General features: G+C 43.5%; 1 long non-coding RNA gene across 2 annotated transcripts in view, besides 1 other annotated feature; it reads left to right on the top strand.

Moving 5' to 3' along the window:
* Positions 1 to 21360, top strand: part of LOC105369998 (uncharacterized) — a 34225-nt gene extending 12865 nt beyond the window's left edge. Inside the window, exons 2-4 of one of the 2 annotated variants that reach the window (XR_945376.3) lie at positions 10640 to 10758; positions 20014 to 20181; positions 21150 to 21360. This is a non-coding gene — a long non-coding RNA (uncharacterized LOC105369998). The remainder of the gene's footprint in view (positions 1 to 10639; positions 10759 to 20013; positions 20182 to 21149) is intronic. The other variant, XR_007063469.1, reaches the window with a different exon arrangement.
* Positions 15284 to 20251: an enhancer, noted in NCBI's record as "CRE16". NCBI's record gives its function as "enhancer in ventricles, interventricular septum, atrioventricular canal" and the evidence as "EXISTENCE:transgenic organism evidence [ECO:0001131][PMID:22543974]".
* Positions 21361 to 22258: the final 898 nt, after the last annotated feature.

The raw sequence follows: 22258 nt of genomic DNA, 5'->3' as shown, positions 1-22258 counted from the left end.
TAGCCATGGCCTAGTGTGTAAGAGGATTGATTTTTTTCTTATTTGAATCATTACCTTTTAGACCCAACATATAGCCATGGCCTAGTGTGTAAGAGCCTGGATCCACACACTGGTCCATGACTTTTTAGGTCTATGTACTTGGCCTGGTTCCTCAAAGGCCATGCTTTGGTTTTCTCATCTGAAAAAGGGGATGATACCAATACCCGCCTGAAAGGTTTCCTATGCAGATTAAATGTGACAAAGCAATGTAAAGCATCTAGAGTTGTGCCTAGCACAAACACTCCTTTATTTATGAGAGGAGCTAAGATAATTAGTACTTTATTATCTTAATACATAGTTGTGTTCTATTCTGTGTGTGTGACTGTGCATTCTTCCCCACCAAATTTCTTCCTGATGCAGTGTAGGTGACAGTATCTTAGACCATAACTAGGAAAATAAGTGAAGAATTAAGATTCTACCATCAGTGAAAGTATCTTATAACTTCCAATGTCTAAAAAGGAGAAAGATGTTAAAATTTTCTAATACTGGCTTCTTCCAAATAGAAAAATGTTGTATTTGGTGGTTCTGTACAAAATAGAACTAGCATTTCTGTTACTACTCTGGGGTGTGTGTGTGTGTGTATGCATACGCCTGTATATGTGGTTACATAGGCAGTTGAGGCAAATGCCTGAACCCAGAATCTGGCCACATTGTATATGAATAGACCTCAATAAGACATAAAATTTGCATTAAACTTGAAAATGTTTGTGGTCATATTAAAAAGCAGGGTGGCATTTACAAATTTAAGGTTATGCACAAACTACATCAACTTTTAAAATGAATTTGTCTGGATAAAACTTTATTCTCTTTAAGAAGTGTGTTCACATATCATTTATTTAAGTTGAATCCTCACTTTGTGTAAAATATTGGGGGACCCTAGAATATGATATTTCCCCTGCATTCTTTTCTGGTCCCCTTGGTGATAGAGTGGTCTCTGATGCTCAGGGCGTGGGTGAAGGTCTCTGTACTTTATAGGTACAAAGACAAATGCTGGCCTCTTCCCTGCAGATGGGTTTTGAAAATGACTTCATAGTTCTTTGCAAAGATCATTGCACAGTTGGATAGTAAATGATGCGGTTTTTTTTTATTTTTTTGGTCATTCGCAAGTACAATCTACCCCTTCTCCCTGCCAGGAATGAAGCCAAAAAAACAGAAGGATAGCAAGATCTCAAATCTGTTGAGTGTGAGCTTCTCATAGCAACATAAACAAAAACTTTGTGGGTTTTTTCTTTATACTTAAAAAGCTGTTTAAATACAGAAAAGTACATAGATTAATATGTCAAATACCTATGTACTCACATCTAGAAAAAACACATATTAACAAGTGGTCATATTCACTTCAAATCTTTTTTTTTTAATAACAGAAGCAAAATACTATAAAGTTCAAGTGCTTTTTCCTTTTATAATTTTGTCCCCCTTCCTCTTCCTCTTCTTAGAGAAAACCACTGTCATAATTTTGATAAATTACTTGCAGTCTAATTTCTTATACGTTTATAAAATATACACTTGTCTCTTAGCAATGCAAACTTTTGGCTTGTGTTTTTTAATTTGCATAAATCTTATATATACAGGTCTACAATTTGCTTTTTTATTCAATATTATACTTCTGAGTTTAATACATGTTGGTGGATAATATATAGTTGTAAATATTAATATTATATTATATAAACATATTTCATTTATTTTAATTGCAACATAATAACCTATGATTGAATAATAATTGCAGCTAATACTTGCATAATACTTTCTATGTGCCAAGTACTGTTCTAACCATTTTATGTAATGAACTCACCTAATCCTCACACCTGTGAAATAGTTGCTATTGCTATCCTCATTTTCCAGATAAGAAACATACAGTTAAGTAATTAGCCCAAGGTCACTTTCTCAGCTGATGGATTTTTATATTTTTTTCATAACCATTACAGATGGCCGGGCGCGGTGGCTCATGCCTGTAATCCCAGCACTTTGGGAGGCCAAAGCAGGTGGATCACGAGGTCAGGAAATCGAGACCATCCTGGCTACCATGGTGAAACCCCATCTCTACTAAAAATACAAAAAAATTAGCCGGGTGAGGTGGCAGGTGCCTGTAGTCACAGCTACTTGGAAGGCTGAGGCAGGAGAGTGGCGTGAACCTGGGAGGCAGAGCTCGCAGTGAGCCGAGATTGCGCCACTGCACTCCAGCCTGGGTAACAGAGCGAGACTCTGTCTCCAAAAAAAAAAATTAAATTAAATTAAATTTAAAAACCATTACAGACAATACAGCAAACATCTTTGTATCTGCTTCTTCACATACGCCATTTATTTTTATATGTGAAAGGTTTATTTTGAGTAGAATTGCTGGGACTTTGAGTATGCACACTGCTAACTTTGCTAAATATTTTCAATGTCAACATCTGCATGTGTGGTTTGGGGCAGCCTTCACTTTACTGAACCTCAGTTTCTTTCTTTGTAAAATGGGAACATGAGGGCTGGCTCTTAAAGGTTGAGGCAGAGATTTAAAAAGCTGTATGTGGCAAACCTGCAATAATGAGCAGCTATTATACATCCTCATAAGAATATTACTGTTGCATTATACTGTGATAGCGCTGACCAGACTCTAATTAAGGATAAGTATTTCAAAGTTCAAAAATGATCGTTAGGACTGAACTGGACAGTTCTTCTTAGTTGCTGTCTCATTTTTATAGGCTTGAAAATAAGCAAAAGGAATTTCGATAAAATTTTATATCAAACCATACCAAACAACCCAGAGGAGGGAATATGAAGCCAAGACTTAAACTACACAACTGAACCATTCTGGACTAATTGATGACTGTGGAGCCTGGGCAGGTCCCTCGGACTTTCTGGGTGTCTTGTTCTCCGGGTCTTAAGGAAAAACAATGATACTTTCTTGCCTTGCAAGATAAGGTTGTTATAAAGAAACAGATGAAAGAACTGGGTGAGTCCCCCCTTTTTTTTTCGAACTATGGAAAATCAAAGATCTGAAGTGGATTTAAAGATATTACTTTCTGGCTGGATACCAGAAAGTATTTTACTATTGCATACATACTCAAAACATTTCAGAAAATTTTATCTTAACTTTTGAAATTGGTTTGTCTTAGAAGAGGAAAGGAACATACCATATTGGTGTGTTCATGGAATTTTTCTCATTGCTGTGCCAACTTCAGGTTCATGAAAATATTAAGGCTTTGTTTTCCTACATAAACTGATTTAGGTAGTAGAAAGATGGGAGAGAGAGGAAAATACACAGATGCAACTCAATCAAACAGTTGTTTTGCAAGCAATTGGTTTCTTGATGGGATTTGATTAATTGTTTTCAAAAATAACTTGCCTGAACAAATTTGGTATCTTTCCTTTGTCTATCTGCCACGACTGCCAAGATATTAAAACCCAAACTAGCTGTGTTTAAAATTTCTTTAATCAGTTATCAGCTAAATTCAGCATCTTTTATGTCAAAAATAGCTCACTGGTAGCTTGGGTAAAGCCAATTGGCTCCTCTTCAAACTGGTTTGTCTGAGTCTGGGGCCACAGGAAATGCTCTGGTCCTGTTCCTAGCTGAGACCCCATTGATGTCAGCTGGAGTTGGGCCATTTTCATTTGCTAATAAAGCCCCAGCATCCATGGTGAATAACTGATGAAAGATGCTGGCTGCTGTTGGCGGCAGGGAGAGAATGCAGCACATCCAGGAGGAAGGGAAGAAATTAGAAGGAAAACTTAACCAGTGGTTCCAACCTGTTCTTTCAGCCAAGTCCTAATGGTGTAATGGCTGGCTTATTTTTCCAAAGGCTAGGGGTATAGGAATAAAAGGGCCGAAAAGAGAGAAGGACAGAAACACAAACACACACACACACACAGACGTATCACACACACACACACACACACACACAGACGTATACACATACACACACACAGAGAAGGCAAGGTGCATGATGAAATAGATGTTTTATAATAGTTTAAATCAGCTAGAAGAAGAATAGGCACTACTCAAAGACAAAGGCAGTTTATTTTCTCTTGTGGGGAAAGGGTCAGCACAGTTTCAGTTGTATGTGGGACAGTTGTATCATGTTAGGCAGAAGTACGGCTTCGTGATCGTCTTTAGTTAGAGGTTAAATACCGTTGAAAGAGATGAGTCTGGGTGTTGAGCTGACAAACGGCAAACTGATGACTTTGTAATGTGGTCGTATGATACAGAAATCACTGTTTTCTGAATTTAGTTACTGTTAAATTCACTTAATGACTTTTGCCATATTCAAGCACCGTCTATTCTATTTTCTCTTTTATTTACTTTTCTAAAGCTAAATGTCTATTTCGGCTTCATCTGAAACCATTATGGGTTTGTTGGGTTCCTCTTTTTAAATAGCATACATTACAATAAAGAGATACATATTAACATTTCTCCTAAAGTTCATCTGGTCACACACTTAAAATCATCTTGTGGATGGCCAAGGGTGTGGGACACTTTAGGGTGATGGTTAAGAGTGTAGGCTTTGGTGTCAGTCAGACTCAAGTTTCAGCACTAATATTTAGCAGCTGTATAACTACATTCAAGTTACTTAACCCCTTTGAGCCTCAGTTTACCCACCAGTAAAATGGGGATGATACTGCCATCTTCATGGGGTTGTTTTGAGCGTTGCATAAGCTCAAGCATGTAAAGTGTCTGTGCCTGGCACCTATGCTATTGGGTGCATCGTGTCCCTCCAAAATTCGTGTTCTCAAGTTCTAATCCCTAGTACCTCAGAATGTGGCTGTAATTAGAGGCAATGCCTTTAAAGAGATAATGAAAATAAAATGAGGTCATTAGGGTGGGCCCTCGTCCATATGACTGGTGTCCTTTTAAGAAGAGGCGATCAGGACACAAAAATGCAGACAGAGGCAAGACAAAGTAAAGATAGGGGAAAAGCAGCCATCTGCATGCCAAGGAAGGAGACCTCAGTACTTAATCAACCCCACCAACACCTTGCTCTTGGACTTCCAGTCTCCAGAATCATGAGAAAATATGTTTCTATTGTTTAATCTACCCAGTCTGTGGTATTTAGTTACGGCAGTCCTAGCAAACTCATACCATGCATATAGAGTGTATATCCGGAGAGCCTCTTGTTTACACCCTTGGTGGTTAGCCATATGCAGACGTGGGCTCAGACTCTACTCAGATCTAAGTTTCAGATGATGGCACAAACCACAAAATAGTGGATCCTGCATTGAAGCAGGGCCTCCTTACTGCCTTCTTGGCAAATTCACAGCAATGTTGTCATCTAAGAAATGTGGTTATCACGTGGGAAGAGTGACTAATCCCCAGTGATTCTGGCCCAGTTTAATTTTTAGGTAAGAATTCTAGGATTCTGTGAAATGCAGCCATTTTTTTTTTGTTGAAAAATAAAACTTCTGATCCAGAAGTTTTATATTTTACCAAATGAAATTTAAGCCTGCAATTTCATTTTAGGTGGAAAGAAAATATAAGTCTTTGGAATAAAGTTGTACATTTACATGCTTTTACAACTCAAAGGCAATTTTGATTTTAATATCAAACTCTTTCAGATTTTGGCACATCGTAAGAACAAGTGCCTCAGGACATTTGTTTTATTCTTTTTTTTTCTTTTTCAGTTTTATTTATTATTTATTTATTTATTTATTTTTGTTTTTTGTTTTGTTTTGTTTCTGAGACAGAGTCATGCTCTGTCACCCAGGTTGGAGTGCAGTGGCATGATTCCAGCTCGCTGCAACCTCCACCTCCCAAGTTCAAGCGATTCTCCTGCCTCAGCCTCCCGAGTAGCTAGGATTACAGGTGCCTGCTACCATGTCCAGCTATTTTTTTGTATTTTTAGTAGAGAGGGGGTTTCACCACCCTGGCCGGGTTGGTCTCGAACTCCTGACATCAGGAGATCCACCCACCTCGATCTCCCAAAGTGCTGGGATTACAGGCGTGAGCCACCACGCCTGGCCTTATTTTATTTTTAAACTTTTTTATTTTTTAAATTGTTTTCCCAAGTTTTTATTTTAGACTCAGGAGGTACCTGTGCAGGTTTGCAATATGGGTAAATTCCATGCTGCTGGGGTTTGGTGTGCAAATGATTTCCTCAACCAGGTAGTGAGTATAGTCCCCAGTAGGCAGTTTTTCAATCCTCACTCTCCTCTGACCCTCCACCCTCAAGTAAGCCCTGGTGTCTATTGTTCCCCTTTTTGTGTCCATATGTACTCAATTCAACTTTTATTTTAGATTCAGGGGGTACATATGTAAGCTTGTTACCTGGGTATATTGCATGAGGCTAAGGTTTGGGGTATGAATGGTTCTGTCACTTGGGTACTGAGCAATGAATTCTGCAGAGCTTCTGACCCAGATTCATGCTTCAAGATGCAGTTATTGTTGTCTGATGCTTCAAATGGCTTATCAGGCTTGAGAAAACGTTCATCTCAGAATCTGTTTTCAGCTTCTCTCTCTTGGAAATTGTCATTAACTTTCCCACCTCACTACCTCATACCCCTTCACATCTTTCATCCAACTACCAACTAGATTTTTTATAAGGTTTTGTGAATTTCAAAAACATTTTATAATTATTGTTATATACCCATTTCTATATACTTTATTCCCAATGAGCTATGCATGCAGTTGGCATGGTGAGGCATGTGGTGTTACTTACCATTTTTCACATAAAGTGATGCGTGATGGTTTAATCACTATGAAAACAGTGGTTCATAGGCTCATGAAGGAGGGTTGACTTGGGCTGCCTCCTAAAGGATGATAATTTGGATAGGTAGAAAAAAGAGGACCAGGTGTGGTGGCTCATGTCTGTAATTCTAGCACTTTGGCAGGCTGAGGCAGGCAAATCACTTGAGGTCAGGAGTTTAAGACCAGCCTGGCCAACATGGTGAAACACTCTCTCTACTGAAAATACAAAAATTAGCCAAGTGTGGTGGTGCATGACTGTAATCCCAGGTACTTGGGAGGCTGAGGTAGAAGAATCACTTGAACCTGGGAGGCAAAGGTTGCAGTGAGCTGAGATTGCACCACTGCACTCCAGCATGGGCAACATAGTGAGATTCTGTCTCAAAAAAAAAAAAAAAAAAGTAGAAAAAAGAAGAGGAGAAACTATTTCAAGCAACAAGGAGACATTGAGCAAAATCAGATGGTATTGTGTTGGTTGAATATCCCTTATCAGAAATATCTGGGGCCAGCAGTGTTTTGGATTTCAGATTTTTTCAAATTTTGGAATATATGCAAATACCTAATGAGATATCTTAGGAAAGGGACCCAAGTCTGAACATGAAATTCATTTGTTTCATATATACCTTGTACACATAGCCTGAAGGTAAATTTATACAATATTTTAAAATAATTTTGTGCATGAAACAAAGTTTTGACTGTGTTGACTGTGACCCATCACATGAGGTCAGGTGTGGAATTTTCCACTTGTGGCAACATACTGGCACTCAAAAAGTTTTGGATTTTGGAGCGCTTTGGAATTTAGATTTTCTGAGTAGAGATATTACCTGTGTTGTAATAATTTGCTTGTACGTTCATCTCCTTATTGGAGCATTGTGAGACCATTAAGATGAGGGGGTCTTATTCATCTTTTTCCACCTGTTGCCTAGCACAGTGCCTGCAATGTGGTGATCATATATTACATCGCAATAATCAGCGGGACTCATGGATTCTCAGCTGACTTCACTCAACTCATAGAAACACAACTCACACTGGTTTATGCAAAAATAAAATTCTAAAGGGAGAAATTATTGGCTTATGAAATGTGGAAGCTTATGGACATGTCAGCTTCAGGTATATTTAGATCAAAGGACCCCCAACAATGTCTCTTCATCTTTTGGTTCTGCTTTTTTCTCTGTTGAATTCCTCACCAGACAGAATCATTCCAGACAGTAGTCTCTCTTTTTCTCTCCCCCTGTATAAATAATTATTAATGAACCATCTGAGCAAGTTAGAGACATTGTGCCTCTTTAAACACAACAGAGAGCATTTGCTAAAAACAAGGATTTTATCTTACATAATCACAGCACAATAACTGAAATCAGAAAATTCAACGCTATTATCAAATCCACAGTTTACGTTTCATTTCCATCAATTGTCTCAATAATGGCTAGTGTGGCTATGCCACTCCCACCAATCCAGAATCATGCATTATATTTACTTGATATGTTGTTCTATAATTTGGAAGTGTTTCTGTGTTTTTCTTTGTCTTTCTTGATCTTGACATGTTTGAAGAGTACAGACCAGTTGTTTTGGAAAACATCCCTCTATTTGAGTTTGTCTAATGTTTCTGCATGCATTTTTGCAGGTATAACATTTAATCCTTTGGAAGGTGACAGCTTTTTCACTAGACACTTAATATGAGATTGCTCTAAGACTTTGCCTTCCATGAACTCCACAGAAGTGGTCTTTGGAAAAAGTCTTTTTAGCTTCCTGTGTCTACTGGCTCATAGTTTCATGAGGCTTATTGGCCAAGCCTTTATGGGTGCTGGGTTTTCAAAGCCATGTGACTCTTCAGACCTACCTTCAAACCACAGTCCGTTTTAAGTCATCTTCAGCAACGTGTGTCTCCATAAGTCTTCTTTCTTGGGGTCACTTTTTCAAGATTTGTTCAGGAAGGTAGCCTTCCTGCAAAAACATAAAGGCCCCTGGTTTCCTTCATCTCACCATGCACAGGCAAACCATTTCCACTGTCCCATATTCTAGCTGGTCTGAATTTATTTCATGCCCTCTAATCCATTCCAGTAACCCAGCTTTTACTCACAAGCTGCACTTATTTACACTAATTGTAGTTGGAGTTCTGGAGCAACTCTTTATTAAATCAAATTACTTTTATTCTGCGCCTCAAGTGTTCTCATGCGTAAACAGGATACAAGAAGACTGCCTATTTCGGAGCTGGTTGTGAGGACTAAATTTGAATTAAAATTAAGTCAAGCATTTAGTACAATGCCTGACACAGGGCCAGTACTCAGATCATTTTCTGTATCTCAAGCTATGTATTTATATAGACCTATATGTATCTCTATCTGTTTCTCAATATGGGTAAATTCTACCCTTTCCATTGCAAAGATCTTTATGCATGGTTCTTTCCAGAATGACACTTGAGAGAAAGCATGATGCAGTTGATATCCAGTTGTGTAGGCCTCTTATGCATTGGTAATTGGTATGACATTAGAATATGAGCTTCTTGAGGGCAGAAATATTTGTCTGTTTTGGTGACTGTTGTAACTTCAGCCCCAGGAATAGTTTTTGAGCAGGTAGTAGACAGTCAATGTTTATTTAAATCACAAGCCCCTACTTGGTAATCCTGGAGGTTGATTTTAGAATTAGATAAACTTGGAGCATTCAGTTAATTCCAAGTATAGCTCAAATCTACATCTGATAAATTTCTTTCAGCTGGTCCAGAGAAACAGGGTGGAAAAGATGCTCTTAGCGGTAGACCAGTGGCACATTAACTAAGTACTCATATTTGAGCTGAGAAGTGAGTGTTAAGAGAATAGCAGTGAACTAAACCTTGGCAAATTCAGTCCCACGGGCTCCTTGATCTGACTTGTCACTTATGATGGCAGTTATACCTGACGTCAGGTTATTGTGTTTCTCCACTGTGCCAGACTTTTTGCAAATGTAACCCCCAATCTTTGTAATATCCTTACGTCGTGGGTGTTCACAGCTTCACTTTTTCAGATACAGTTAGGAAAGCTGAGAAACAACCTAACCAGAATTGGCTTTTTCCCTCTTAAAAGGCTGAAAGACTATTTCGCTGGGTTAAATTTTCTTAGTTCTACACATTGAGCACATGAAAAGAGAAGAGCAATTCTACTAGATTTGGTAACCTTCTGTTTGGGGTACATTACATGTTTTATATAAGAATCTTTTTCATCCTCTCAACAATTCTAAAAGGTAGGTAGTATTGTGGCCCTTTTACAGAAGAGGAAACTGAGGATTAGAGTGTTTTAATAACTTAACTGCGGTCATCCATATCTACCTGTCTATGCTTGAAACCATGACAAAAAAATACCCTGCACAGGGGGATCTATTTACAAAGCTTGATTCAATATGTGCTTTTGCATTGGGGATCCCTTCCCTACCCCCTATGCTCCCCAAAGTCCCAAAAGACCAGGAGGAATTAGGTTGTTTTTACATCACACCAGAGCTTACTAAAAACTTCACCATTCCTTTTTCTCCTTGTTGATGAAATGAGACATTAGACAGTGGATGGGCCAGGAAGTGTTGCAATACTGGATTCTAAACAAATATTCACTGAATGCTTGAGCAGTCATGTGAATGAATCCTTTCGGGCAACTCTGCCCAGGGCTACTGAGAAGTGGAAACTGAGCTGCAGCTGGGATGAGTGACCACCAGCTCAACACTGCAATCACTCAGCTCCAAAGAGATGATAATGACTTTCAACCAGAATGTAGACACAAAGATGAAAGACCCTTTTTCAATGTCAACGCTTTAGCCAGTCACCTTGGCTTTAGGGCCATCCTTTGAACTCCCTTCATAATCCAGCAGAAGAGAAACTATAGGATAGCTCTGAGCAAGACTGTCTTTCGTTATTGCTTAATAACCCTCCAGAGGTCTCTTGGTATATTGTACCCCTGTACTGTTTGATTTCCTTTGTAGGGGTGTGGAAGGGGAAATCAGGCTTTGACATAAATGAATGGAGACTGATACTCCTGGGAGAAGAGGATGTTGTCCCCAGGATCCATGTGGTCTGCACCAATATCTTCTTTGTTTGGAATGTAAGTTGTTTCTGGTAAATTTCTGAGCTCTCATAGCAGATGGGTCAAAGTACATTCATTCATTGTTTCTTCCCATACATCGAGGCATGGCTACTTTATGAGCTTTGGGGGTTGAGGGAAAACTGGACCAGGACAGCCTACAGCTGCATTGCCATAAAATGGTGCCTGAGCTACCTCCAGGTGTTTAAACCCACATCCTTGCTTTTGGGCTTTGACCTGCTGAAGACATTTTACAATCTCAGCTTCTTTCACTGACACTTTGTAGATGATTCCTTGGGAATGCACTATGAGCTGATGTCTCATTTAGAAGCTTCCTCTTTCCAAAAACCATGTCCCACCATGTCCCAGAGACTTGAGTTATCCACAGCAGAAATTTGGGGTGATTTGTCTTGCTCAATAGGTCTCGGCTCCGAGGTTGTACACTGTAGTATATATGTACTTACCTATTCTTTGAAATTGAGATTTAAACAATTATCAAGGGAAAAAATGAGGGAAAAACTAGGAACATTTATTGAGCCGTCACTCTGTGCCAGGCACTGTACCTGACACATATTGTTATCATTCATCTACTTTTCTAACAGATTATGTGAGTCCTGTAATTTTCCTGATTTCAGACATAAAGAAACTGAGGCTCAGAAAGCTTGCTAATCTACGAAAACTGTACAATATGTAATTGTCAATGCTGGGACTTGAGCCCAGATTAATGGATGCTTTAGATATGTTTATTAACATCCATGTAAACATGGAAAACATCAGACACACACACACAGGCTCATTTTTAGTTATGAGTTAAATATCAGATACTGATCTAGGTCAATAGTTGCACCGAATTAATTGCAATAGCTTACATTTATGGGTCACTTACCTGGTACTTTTTATTTATTATCTCCTCACATCCTCACAACAATACTGAGGGGACATAGTTATTATCCTCTTTTTACAGATGAAAAATACTGAGCCTTAGGGATGTCACATCACTTGCGTGTTTGGGCAAACTGTCCCCTTCTGGTAACAAGATGGTGGCCAGTATCACTAAGCTTTCCACCCTTAACACTCTAAGGCCAGTAGAGAGGCCTTCTCTTCCCCACATTTCTAGCAGATGTTCCACGATAACCTCTGATTGGATAGAATTTAAACACATGCCTACAGCTGAACCAATCATTGCAGCTGGAGGATAGAATATGCTAATTGGCCATCTACTGGGTAATGAGAGCTAGGAAGGGAAACTCAGGATGCTGTCACCAGAGGAGGAAATGGATGCTGTCCACTATTGCATGACTTGTGCTACAGAAAAACCTGCCATAGATTTCAGAAGGGGCTTCCACTCACTTGGCCTTACTAAACCCAGGTCTGTGTGATTTAGATGAACCAGGAAATTGCTTCAGTGTAAACCTAGTCTTGGAATTCTTGTCAGCTCCAGTTTCCACAATTTTGAAGCCAGAAGCACCACTCTATTTCTGATGCTTTAAATAGTCAACCCTGGAAATTAAAGTCAGGCTGAATGTTTGCAACTGGAACCTCAAAATTTCTTTCTTTCTTTCTTTCTTTTTTTTTTTCGAGATGGGGTCTCGCTCTGTCGCCCAGACTGGAGTGCAGTGGCACCATCTCGGCTCACTGCAAGCTCCGCCTCCTGGGTTCACGCCATTCTCCTGCCTCAGCCTCCTGAGTAGCTGGGACTACAGGTGCCCGCCACCACAACCAGCTAATTTTTTGTATTTTTTAGTAGAGACGGGGTTTCACTGTGTTAACCAGGATGGTCTCTATCTCCTGACCTCGTGATCTGCCCGCCTCGGCCTCCCAAAGTACTGGGATTACAGGCGTGAGCCACCGTGCCCAGCCCAATATTTATTTCCTTGCCCAAAATTCAAATGTGGAGCCAGTCAGGGATAAATATAGCTCAAGGCTCTATTGGTTAGCCATATTGCTGCAGTTATGTCACGTAACAAATTACTACCTCCACCAGTGGCTGACAACAATAAACATTTGTTTTTTACTTATGAATCTATGGGTTAGCTGGACAGGTCTGCCAAATGGAGTGTACTTAGGTATTTCTGGTCAGCTGCAGTTAACAAAGTGGCTTTGGTAGTCTTAGCTGGACTCCCTTACTTATCTAGAGCCTTGGCTTAGACAACTGGGCAGACTCAGTCATGTGTCTCATCCTCCAGGAGGGTAGCCCAGAATCGTTCACACAAAGAAATCAGAGAGATAAGAGTGTAGAAACATACAAGGGGTTGAGTTTTCTACTATCCCATTGGCTAAAGCGAGTCACAGAGGCCAAGTCTAGAGTCAGCATGAGTAGAAGGTAGCATGGAAAATGGGGTCACTATAGAGTCAGCATGGGTAGAAGGTAGCATGGAAAATTGGGTCACTAGATGCAATCAATCTTCCATAGGCTCCAAATGGATTCTTTTTTAAAATTGTTAATTTTGGTGGGTACATAATAGGTGTATATATTTATGAGGAACGTGAGATATTTTGATACAGCCATACAATGCCTAATAATCACATCAGGGCAAATGGGATATCCATTACCACAAGCATTTATTCTTTGTGTTATAAACAATCCAATTATACTCTTTCAGTTATCTTAAAATGTACAATTGAATTATTCTTGACTATAGTCACCCAGTTGTGCTATCAAAGGCTAGATCTTATCTCATCTTATTCCTTTTTTCTAACTATATTTTGTACCCATGAACCATGCCCACCCCTCCACTCACCACGCCACCACCACTACCCTTCCCAGCCTCTGGTAACCATCATTCTATTCTCTATCTCTGTCAGTTTGATTGTTTTAATTTTTAGCTCCCACCAAGAAGTGAGAGCATGTGAAGTTTGTCTTTCTGGGCCCGGCTTATTTCACTTAGCATACTGACCTCCAGCACGGATGGATCCATGTTGTTGCAAATGACAGGATCTCATTCTTTTTTTTACAGCTGAATAGTACTCCATTATGTTAATGTACCACATTTTCTTTACCCATTCATCTCTTGATGGACATTTAGGTTGCTTCCAAATCTTAGCTATTGTAAACAGTGCTGCAACAAACATGGGAGTGCAAATATCTCTTTGATATACTCTTTTCCTTTCTTTTGATGATCCAAATATATTCTTTTAGTTTCCTGATAGGAGGTAATCAGATAGTGAGAATTATGCCACAGCTAGCAGAAAAACTGAACACATTCACTCCTAGTCCCCGACTCTGGCCTCATCCACACCAAATGCCAGGAATACAAAGCCAGAGGCCCCCGTCCTCACGTTTGACCATTCACTTAATGAGCACTTCTTCATGATCTGGGAGCTGGGAGACAACAATCACAGAGTTCCTGCCCCCAAAGAGCTGTGTCCTATAGGAAGACAGGCCTGGAAGTCAATGGTTACAACTTAGGTTCTTAAGTGCTGAGCAGAGATGGGGGTGCAGGGCCGCAGAAGACCAGAGAGGCCATTGCTCCATGATTATGAATTCACAGAACAGCCAAGCTTCCTCCCTCTGCCCCCGATGGGGGCCAGGGATCTCCAGGCCCATCGACCAGGCTATGAGCATTTCTTCCCTCCTCCTTCTGTCCTCATCCTGCCTCCTGTTTCTTAGAAACCTTGCTCAGAGGAGGCTTAGCTTCTCCTTCCAGATACTGATCAGTTGGTATTAATGTTTTCCAAGAGATCAATTACACATATGGCTGCTGAATCCTTCTCCTGCCTCCTCTCCCCACCGTGGGCTGGGACTCTGGTGAAGCCTGCCTCTGCTTGTCTCGAGAGGATCAGCGTTCTTCAGCACAGTGCACTCAAGACCTACTCCAAACCTGTGCCAGATGTTTTACATATACAGTCATATATCCCTTGACAACAGTGATATGTTGTGAGAAATGCATTGCTAGGCAATTTGGTTGTAGTGTAAACTCCTACATGGTACAGCCTACTACACACCTAGGCTGTATGGTATAGCCTATTGCTACCAGGCTACCAACCTGAACAGCATGTTTCTGTACCGAATACTATAAATAATCATAACACAGTGGCATTTGTGCAACTAAACATAGAAAAAGTACAGTAAAAATACAGCATTATAATCTTATGAGACCACTGTTGTATATGTGGCCCATCATTGACCTAAATGTCTTTATGTGGCATATGACTGTACTGTATTGTATTATTTTTCCTCTCAACAACCACCTGAAGCCGACATTCTTATGAAACCCATTATATGGATTGAGAAACTGAGGCTGAGAAAGGTGAAGAGACTTATGTTCCCTAGTTCGTAAGTCCTAGTTCTTAAAGTTCATTCAATTAGGAACTGGCAGGGCTAGGATTTGGACACGTGGCAATGCCTAAGGCTTAACCACAATATCCAGCTTCCTCTCTAAGCAATGTCCACTCCATTTGTCTGCTCTCTTTTCAATTCCGAGTCACAATTTGGGTTTAGGTCTGCTCAAGCTACAATACAAACAAATTCTTCTACACGAGCCCAAGAGAGGGAAGTGGAGAGACTGGAGTTTAGAAAAACTGGTTTGAGAAGAGCCCAGCCAATGCTCCTTTTAAGTTGGCTTTTTCTCGCCTCCCTAAATCTCCTTTTCTGCCAGGAATCCAATCCTTCTCCCTGCTCCTGGGAGCCTCCACCCAGGGAAAACAGGAGGTCAGAGTGTGAGAAACAGGCCAGCAAAATCAGCTAGAAACAGCTCTTTCTTTTCTGCCAGTGACGGGTCCACACCCTGGATGCATAAATCCTTTATTTTATTTTTATTATTATTATAGCTCAGGGTCTAGCATGGGCCATAAACGGATTTAAGAGGCTGCTAGAGTATAGAATTTAATATAGTTAGCATCATTAAATAGTGGCACAGCAAACCCACTTGGGAAAGTCTGGACCCCACTATCCTTCTCCCCATCTCTTCTCACCTCCCTCCTGATTCCTCAAATTCTCCTGGCAAACATTGCATGGGGCAGCCCCCCTCTCACAAAGGCAAAGGGCAGGGAAATTAAACAGAGAGGCAAGAAGGCCAAGGAGGGTGGCCTGAGTCACGTTTCCCTGGTGTCTGCAGCTCTGGCGGAGAGGGCATTGGGCAAATGATCAATTAGGGACACGGGGAGATGGGACAGAGCCTTCTAGATAAGCATGGGTTTTATCAGCCTATAAAAAGTACCACTTTCACTTATCTGCTGGCTCCTTCTCCAGGCTCCTGGGAAGAGATGGAAAGGTAGCCAAAAGAAAGGCCCAGGGGACGGGGAGGGGTAATCGGTGATGGGGGCCACTTGGGGCAGAAGGAGAGGAACTTTCTCAGGGAAGCAAGGCTCAGAAAGCCAAAAAACATGCTGCGGGGGAGGGGGGTATTTTCCCCTGCAAACTGATCGCCATTCAGAATCATCTTCTTATTTGTATCGCCCAGAGGGAGGAGAGCTCCCTGGTCCTATGCACTTTATTGATTCCTTATGCCGATGGTCCCTGACTTACAATGGTTCAATTTACAATTTTCCAACTTCAGAATGGGTTTATCCGGGTATTAAGTGCACTTTTGACTTAACAATATTTTCATCATACGATGAGCTTATTGGAACGTGACCCCATCTTAAGTCGAGGAGCATCTGTATATGTTTTGCATATGTCTCCCTGGGTTCAAGTCCATCTGTTATGACACCATTATATATTTTGTTTAACACATGTTTAACTAGTGTCGATTACAGGAAGGGCATAATCCTGGATACTTGGGATGCGGTGTTGAAGGAAACAGCCATGACCTCTAGCCAGCTTAGAGTCCGAGGTGGAAACATAATAACTAAGCACATAACAAAAAATGACAGCAATACAGTGTGCTTATTAGACACCAAGTATTTTCTAAAAGCTTTACCTCTAGAAATTCACTTAATCCTCACAAATGCCCTAACAGAAGGGAGTACCACTGTTAGCCCCATTTTACAGAGAAGAAACTAATACATAAGCAAAATAATTTTTTAAAAATTATTAAGTTCCGGGGTACATGTGCAGGATGTGCAGGTTTGTTACATAAGGTAAATGTGTGCCATGGTGGTTTGCTGCACCTGTCAACCCATCACTTAGGTATTAAGCCCAGCATGCATTAGCTCTTTTCTCTAATGCTCTCTCCCACCCCCCACCCTCTCCTGACAGGCCCCAGTGTGTATTGTTACCCTCCCTGTGTCCATGTGTTCTCATTGCACAGCTCCCACTTATAAGTGAGAACATGCGGTGTCTGGTTTTTTGTTCCTTCGTTAGTTTGCTAAGGATAATGGTAAAATAACTTCTGATAGTGGTCAGTGCTATGTAATAAATAAAACAGAGTGATAAGATGGAGAGAGGGAATTTCAATGGCCAGTGGTCAGGGCTGGCCTCACGGAGGGGTTGGCCACAGAGGAGGCAGTTGCAAGGGGGGCTGGGAGTAGAGGGAATGGCATGTGCAAAGGCCCTGGGGTAGGAGCAAAGGCTGGTACAAATGAGGATCAGAGAAGGAGGTGGGTGGAATGGAGAGGCAGAAAGGAGGGCAGGATGAGATAGGAGGGCAGGCAGGGGCCAGCTCCTGCAAGGCCTTCCTGATACGGGAAAGAGTTCAGGTTTTATTCTAAGACTTTTTGTTTGTTTGTTTTGAGACAGGGTCTCACTCTGTCACCCAGGCTTGAGTACAGTGGTGCAATCATATCTCCCTACAGCCTTGAGCTCCTGGCCTCAAGTAATCTTCCCTCCTTGATCTCCCAAAGTACTGAGATCCCAGGCATGAGCCATGGTGCCTGACCTTTGGAGGGTTGTGAACACGATCAGGACATGAGCTGATGCTTCATTTTTCCTCAGTGGCAGGTAGCTCAGGCATCCTTGGGGGCTAGATGGGACCACTGGGTGGAAGGATGGTGATGGCAGTGGTGGTGCTGTGAGGAGAGGGGGTTAATGGGATCCAGGAATCTCCCAGAGGTCACTGTAGTGTGGTTTGCACTGGAGGCAGAAGAAAACGGTCCCACTCTCAGCTTGCTTCGAACTCCTGGAGAACTTTAGCAATTCCCTTCACTCTCTGCACCTCTAGATCTCAGTTTCCCCATATATAAAATTAAAGAGTTGGACTAGTTATTGCTAAGGGACTATTCAGGTCCCATCCTCAAGGATGGGGCTGTGTCGAAGCCCTGGGACCTTAAGGGGTGGGCTGAGGACTGAGGACATGGCTGGAGATGGGCTTTTCTTTTGCCTGCTCCAAACCCACATGTCTTTCTTCCTCCTGAATTGGTGGTTTCTAGTCTGAGTGGGACCTGTGGAATCAAGGGGTTCGCTCCAGGCTAACCTCACCATGCCAGTGGGGAACAGTCTCTAATTGTGACCACACAATTCCTTCTGCCAGGCTGGGCAGGGGCAGCCCGCCTCCAAGTGTACCTGTGTGTGTGTGGCCACATAAGAGGATACATGAGGGTCTGAGGCTGATGTGTGGGGGACCCTGGAATGATGCAGTGACCGTGTGAATCCAGAATGAATGGATCTGAATGCAACCGTGAGGGTATGTGTGGATCCAAGAGTATGCATGGGCTAATGTCTGTGACTCAGGGGGAAGACCTGTAATTGTGAGTGTGGCTGGTTTGGGACTGAGTGTGTGAGAGTGTGTGTGGCTGCACATGCACAGCTGTGCACACAGCTATGAGTGCATGTGAGCTACTCCATGTAAGATGGGGTCACATTCCAATAAGCTCGTCGTACGATGAAAATATTGCTAAGTCAAAAGTGCACTTAATACCCGGATAAACCCGTTCTGAAGTTGGAAAATTGTAAATTGAAGTCATTGTAAGTGTGTGTATGCATGGCCTTGGTTGTGATGTGTGTGCCTGACACTGAAGGGGGAGATATACTGGGGGTAGGGGGCAGTGTGTGGTTGTGTGTGAGGGTGGACAACAGGGAGTGTAAATGTGACTGTGAGTGTGTGTGTGACTGAACTGATGTGCATTTATGCACAGCTGTGAGCCTGTGGGTGGTTGTGAGTGGCCAGGATTGTGTGTCTGAATTGGTATCTGTGGGTGTGTGCCTTTGTGTGAGAGTATGTGTATGTGGACAAAGAGGTGTATGTTTGTGGGTATTTGCCTATTGTGTGAGGCTGAGTGTTAAAGAGTATACATGTGTGTTTGTGCATATCAAAGATTCAGTGTGTTTCTGTGATGTGTTGTTGAACGTGACCATGAGAGTGGCAGTGGGTTTGTGATCAGACCATGTGTGTACAGGGGTGTGTGCATGTGTGGCTTTGTGTGACTTTGAATACTAGAATGTGTATGTGACTGTGTCTATGCATGTATGAATTCATATGTTAATATATACATGTATTTATATATATGTATAGTATATATGTTTATATGAATGTGTGATGAATATGGTGGCAGCTATGTGACAAAATTGCTGAACCTAGACACGCAGTGGGTGGCTGCTTGGCGTGCCTGTGTGTGTGAGATAGAAAGGCTGCACCCATATACAAAGTGGGTGGCTGTGCATGGCTGTGTATGCTATAAGTGACTCCCAAGTGGCCGGGTCTGGGGCATCTCACTGCTTGACCCCTTGGGAACAGAGGGCTGAGGCTGTGGTGTCAGTGAGGGGCTGGGCCACCCTGAACAGGTGAACCAGCTTTCTCCCAGCCCCGTGGTGTCATAGGTGGCCAAGGCCAGATCATTGCTGCTGCTTCACCATGTGGCTGATGGCTGGCAGAGGGATCGGCTCAGCAGTCCAGGTCTTTACCTAGCCTAGGAAAGATTTGCTGCAAGCAGCTGTCTCTAATCATGCCAGCCCTGGAGCTGTCACCCTGGTATCTATGGAGCAGCAGAAGCAAACCCTCCCTGGAGTCCGCCAGGTCTGTGAACCCTCGGGGACAAGGTCAAAGGCTGCTTTGGGCAAAGGACTTGTGGGCAGCCAGACTGGTTCATCTGATCTCCTGGAATCAATTTCCAAGAAGTACACATAATCAGGATTTAGAGTCAACTCCCCTGTCCTTCTGGTACTGGGGAAGGCCCAGGAGGTGTGTGCCCGGGGAGCATGTGCACAACTGTGGTGCAGGTGCTTTGCATGCCAGTAGGTGGGTTGTGCCTGTATATCACCTACTCAAGCCTTTCACTCCGCCTATGGAGGAAGTAACTGTGCCTCCAATACTGCAAAGGGGTGCATTTCTGCCCGTGTTCGTGCCCAGCATGGATCTTGCACCTGCTATTTCCAACCTGCTAAGGGTGTGAGGGCTTCCCCTGCGTGCTCGGGGACAGGGACGAAGTTGCACTGACAACACTGTCCTCTCCAATTCCCAGGCACCTTTTTCCCAGTTCCCAGGAAGTGGCTGTGGAATTTGCTTCCAAATATAGACTCGGGTGGCCCAGGCTGCTGCAGACAGCCCCTTTGGCCTCCCAGGCTGAATGGCAGAACAGTGATTGCCTTCCAGGAGGCCCAGGCCCACAGGCCTCTGCTTGGAGCTGTCGGTAAAAATAATAATCATAAAAGTGGCCAATAAAAGGAGGGGGGGGCACTGAGCATTAGGTTATGAGCCCAGAAAACCATCTGACCCGAGGTGATGTTTGGGCGGTGGCTGCCCCGCCCTCTAAACACCCACACCCACACACTCACACACACTGCCTTCCACAATGACACACAGGCTCACACAAACTCCCACCACACACATGCACAAGACCCCATGTTCCACAGGCTCACAGCTGTTTTCACATAAGGAGGTCCACAGAAAAAGTGCATAGGTAACTATTTTCGAAATGCCCCCTCTCAAGGAAGCACATGTAATGACACAGACACACACAACTAACACAACAGCACAGAGATACGTAAAGCTCCCCCTCAAATGACTCAGTCCTATAGAAAGACTCCAGGACAATGCCATATTCAGCCACACAGAAGACAGACCTCTCCAGCTGGGCAGCCTGGACCCTCTGGTTTTGTTAGAAGATGGAGTTCGGGAGCATGGGCAAGAATGCTATAGGACTGGCCCTTGTCTTTAAGACTTAGCCTCCTGGGTCCTGGGCGCTCATCAAGACTCACCCACGGGGACCAGGAACCAGGATGCGGGGCTCCTGTGGGAGCCGTTGCTAGTGAGCAGAGCAGGCTGAGAAATCTGGGAGGAACCCCAAACGTTGAGCCTGATGTCTGCTAGCATGGGGGTGGCCTGGGCTGGGGGGTAGCCGAGGATCCTGGAGATGAGGCAGGATCACCTGAGGGTGCCTCGGAGGGAATGTATTCTACGTGGAGGTGGAAAGACTCAGGCACTAAAAGAATGACTCCGAAGCAGGGAGGACACAGGTGGAGGAGGGTGGAGGGAACCGAAGGGAGGGAAGTGAGAGAGTGGGGATCCCTTGCACCTCCCTTTGAGGCGCTGCTCGAGGGGTTTGGATCTCAGAGTCCCCCACTTTCTAAAGAAGTCATTTTCTTCCTAACTTGCAAGTGTGGCAGCCAGCGCTGCGCCCAGAGCAAACAGGCGGTGGGAAGAGCCTGAAACACCGGGAAGCGAAGGGAGCGCCTGGGGAGGCTGAAGGAGCGGCGCTAGCGGCAAGTCCCTCCGGGTGCGGAGTCTGGGGCCTTGAGGCGGCAGGACTCCTCCGGCCCCAGGGAGAGCCACAGAGCAAAGATAGGAGAAGGGCCGCGCCTGGCGGGTGCTGTCCCGGCCGCAGAACGCAGTGCCTGGGAGGGGAAGGCCCGGAACCGAGAGGCCGGGCGGCCGCGTCCGACTGCGAACTCCACACTTCACCGGGGCGCCCTCCGCAGACTGAGCCCGCAGCCGCTCCAGCACGCCGGGGAGCAGCCTCCACGTGTACTCGGGAACTGCTGGGAATCCCTTAAACGCTCTACCTGAAGGCGCGGGAGAGTAGGGAAAGGGAAGGAGCATTTCCAGCAGGGGCTGTGCGCATTTCCAGCAGGGGCTGTGTGCATTTCCAGCAGGGGCTGTGTGACTTCGGGCAAGTCCTCACCCTCTCACAGCCTAATTATTTGTTTCAAAAAAAAAAAAAAAAATGGAGCCGGGCACATCTCTGCCCGGCTCCATCCCACCCACCCATCTTCCTCCCTCAAAGCCAGGGGACAGTGTGTACTGGCCTTGAGGCTATGATGAATGTGGGCCAGGATTTGGGAATAGAACAGTGAGGTTTGGAAAGGAGAACATCAGCATCTTTCCGTCCTCCCTCCCATCTTGCTTAATGCCAGTGAATCTGGGCTGTTTGCCCCCAGGCTCTCTTCTGGGGCCTCAGTGGGAATGGGGAGAAAAGACTGAGACATCAGAAATGATGTGAGCCTTCGCTCCGTGACAGAAGGACCAATTCCCCCCCGGTTTTCAACTAAGTGTGCTTTTCGACGCTGAAAAAGTGCCCTTTGCACTCCCCCAATCCAACAGACCTCTCCCCGGTTCCCCTTCCTGCCTTGATAGAGGAACCCTGCCTTCTGATAGGTTCGAATCCCACCAGAGTGGGGCGGTGGCCAGAGCGCCAGAAACCTCTTCTGTAAGGTTGAGGAGAATTGAGCTCTCTTCTCATAGAGCGATTCAGAGCTAAATGTGTGAGC

The sequence above is a fragment of the Homo sapiens genome, chromosome 12 (assembly GCF_000001405.40).
Source record: "Homo sapiens chromosome 12, GRCh38.p14 Primary Assembly".
Lineage (NCBI taxonomy): Eukaryota > Metazoa > Chordata > Mammalia > Primates > Hominidae > Homo > Homo sapiens.
Note: the sequence above shows the minus strand (reverse complement) of the source record. Positions and strands in the feature narration are given on the sequence as shown.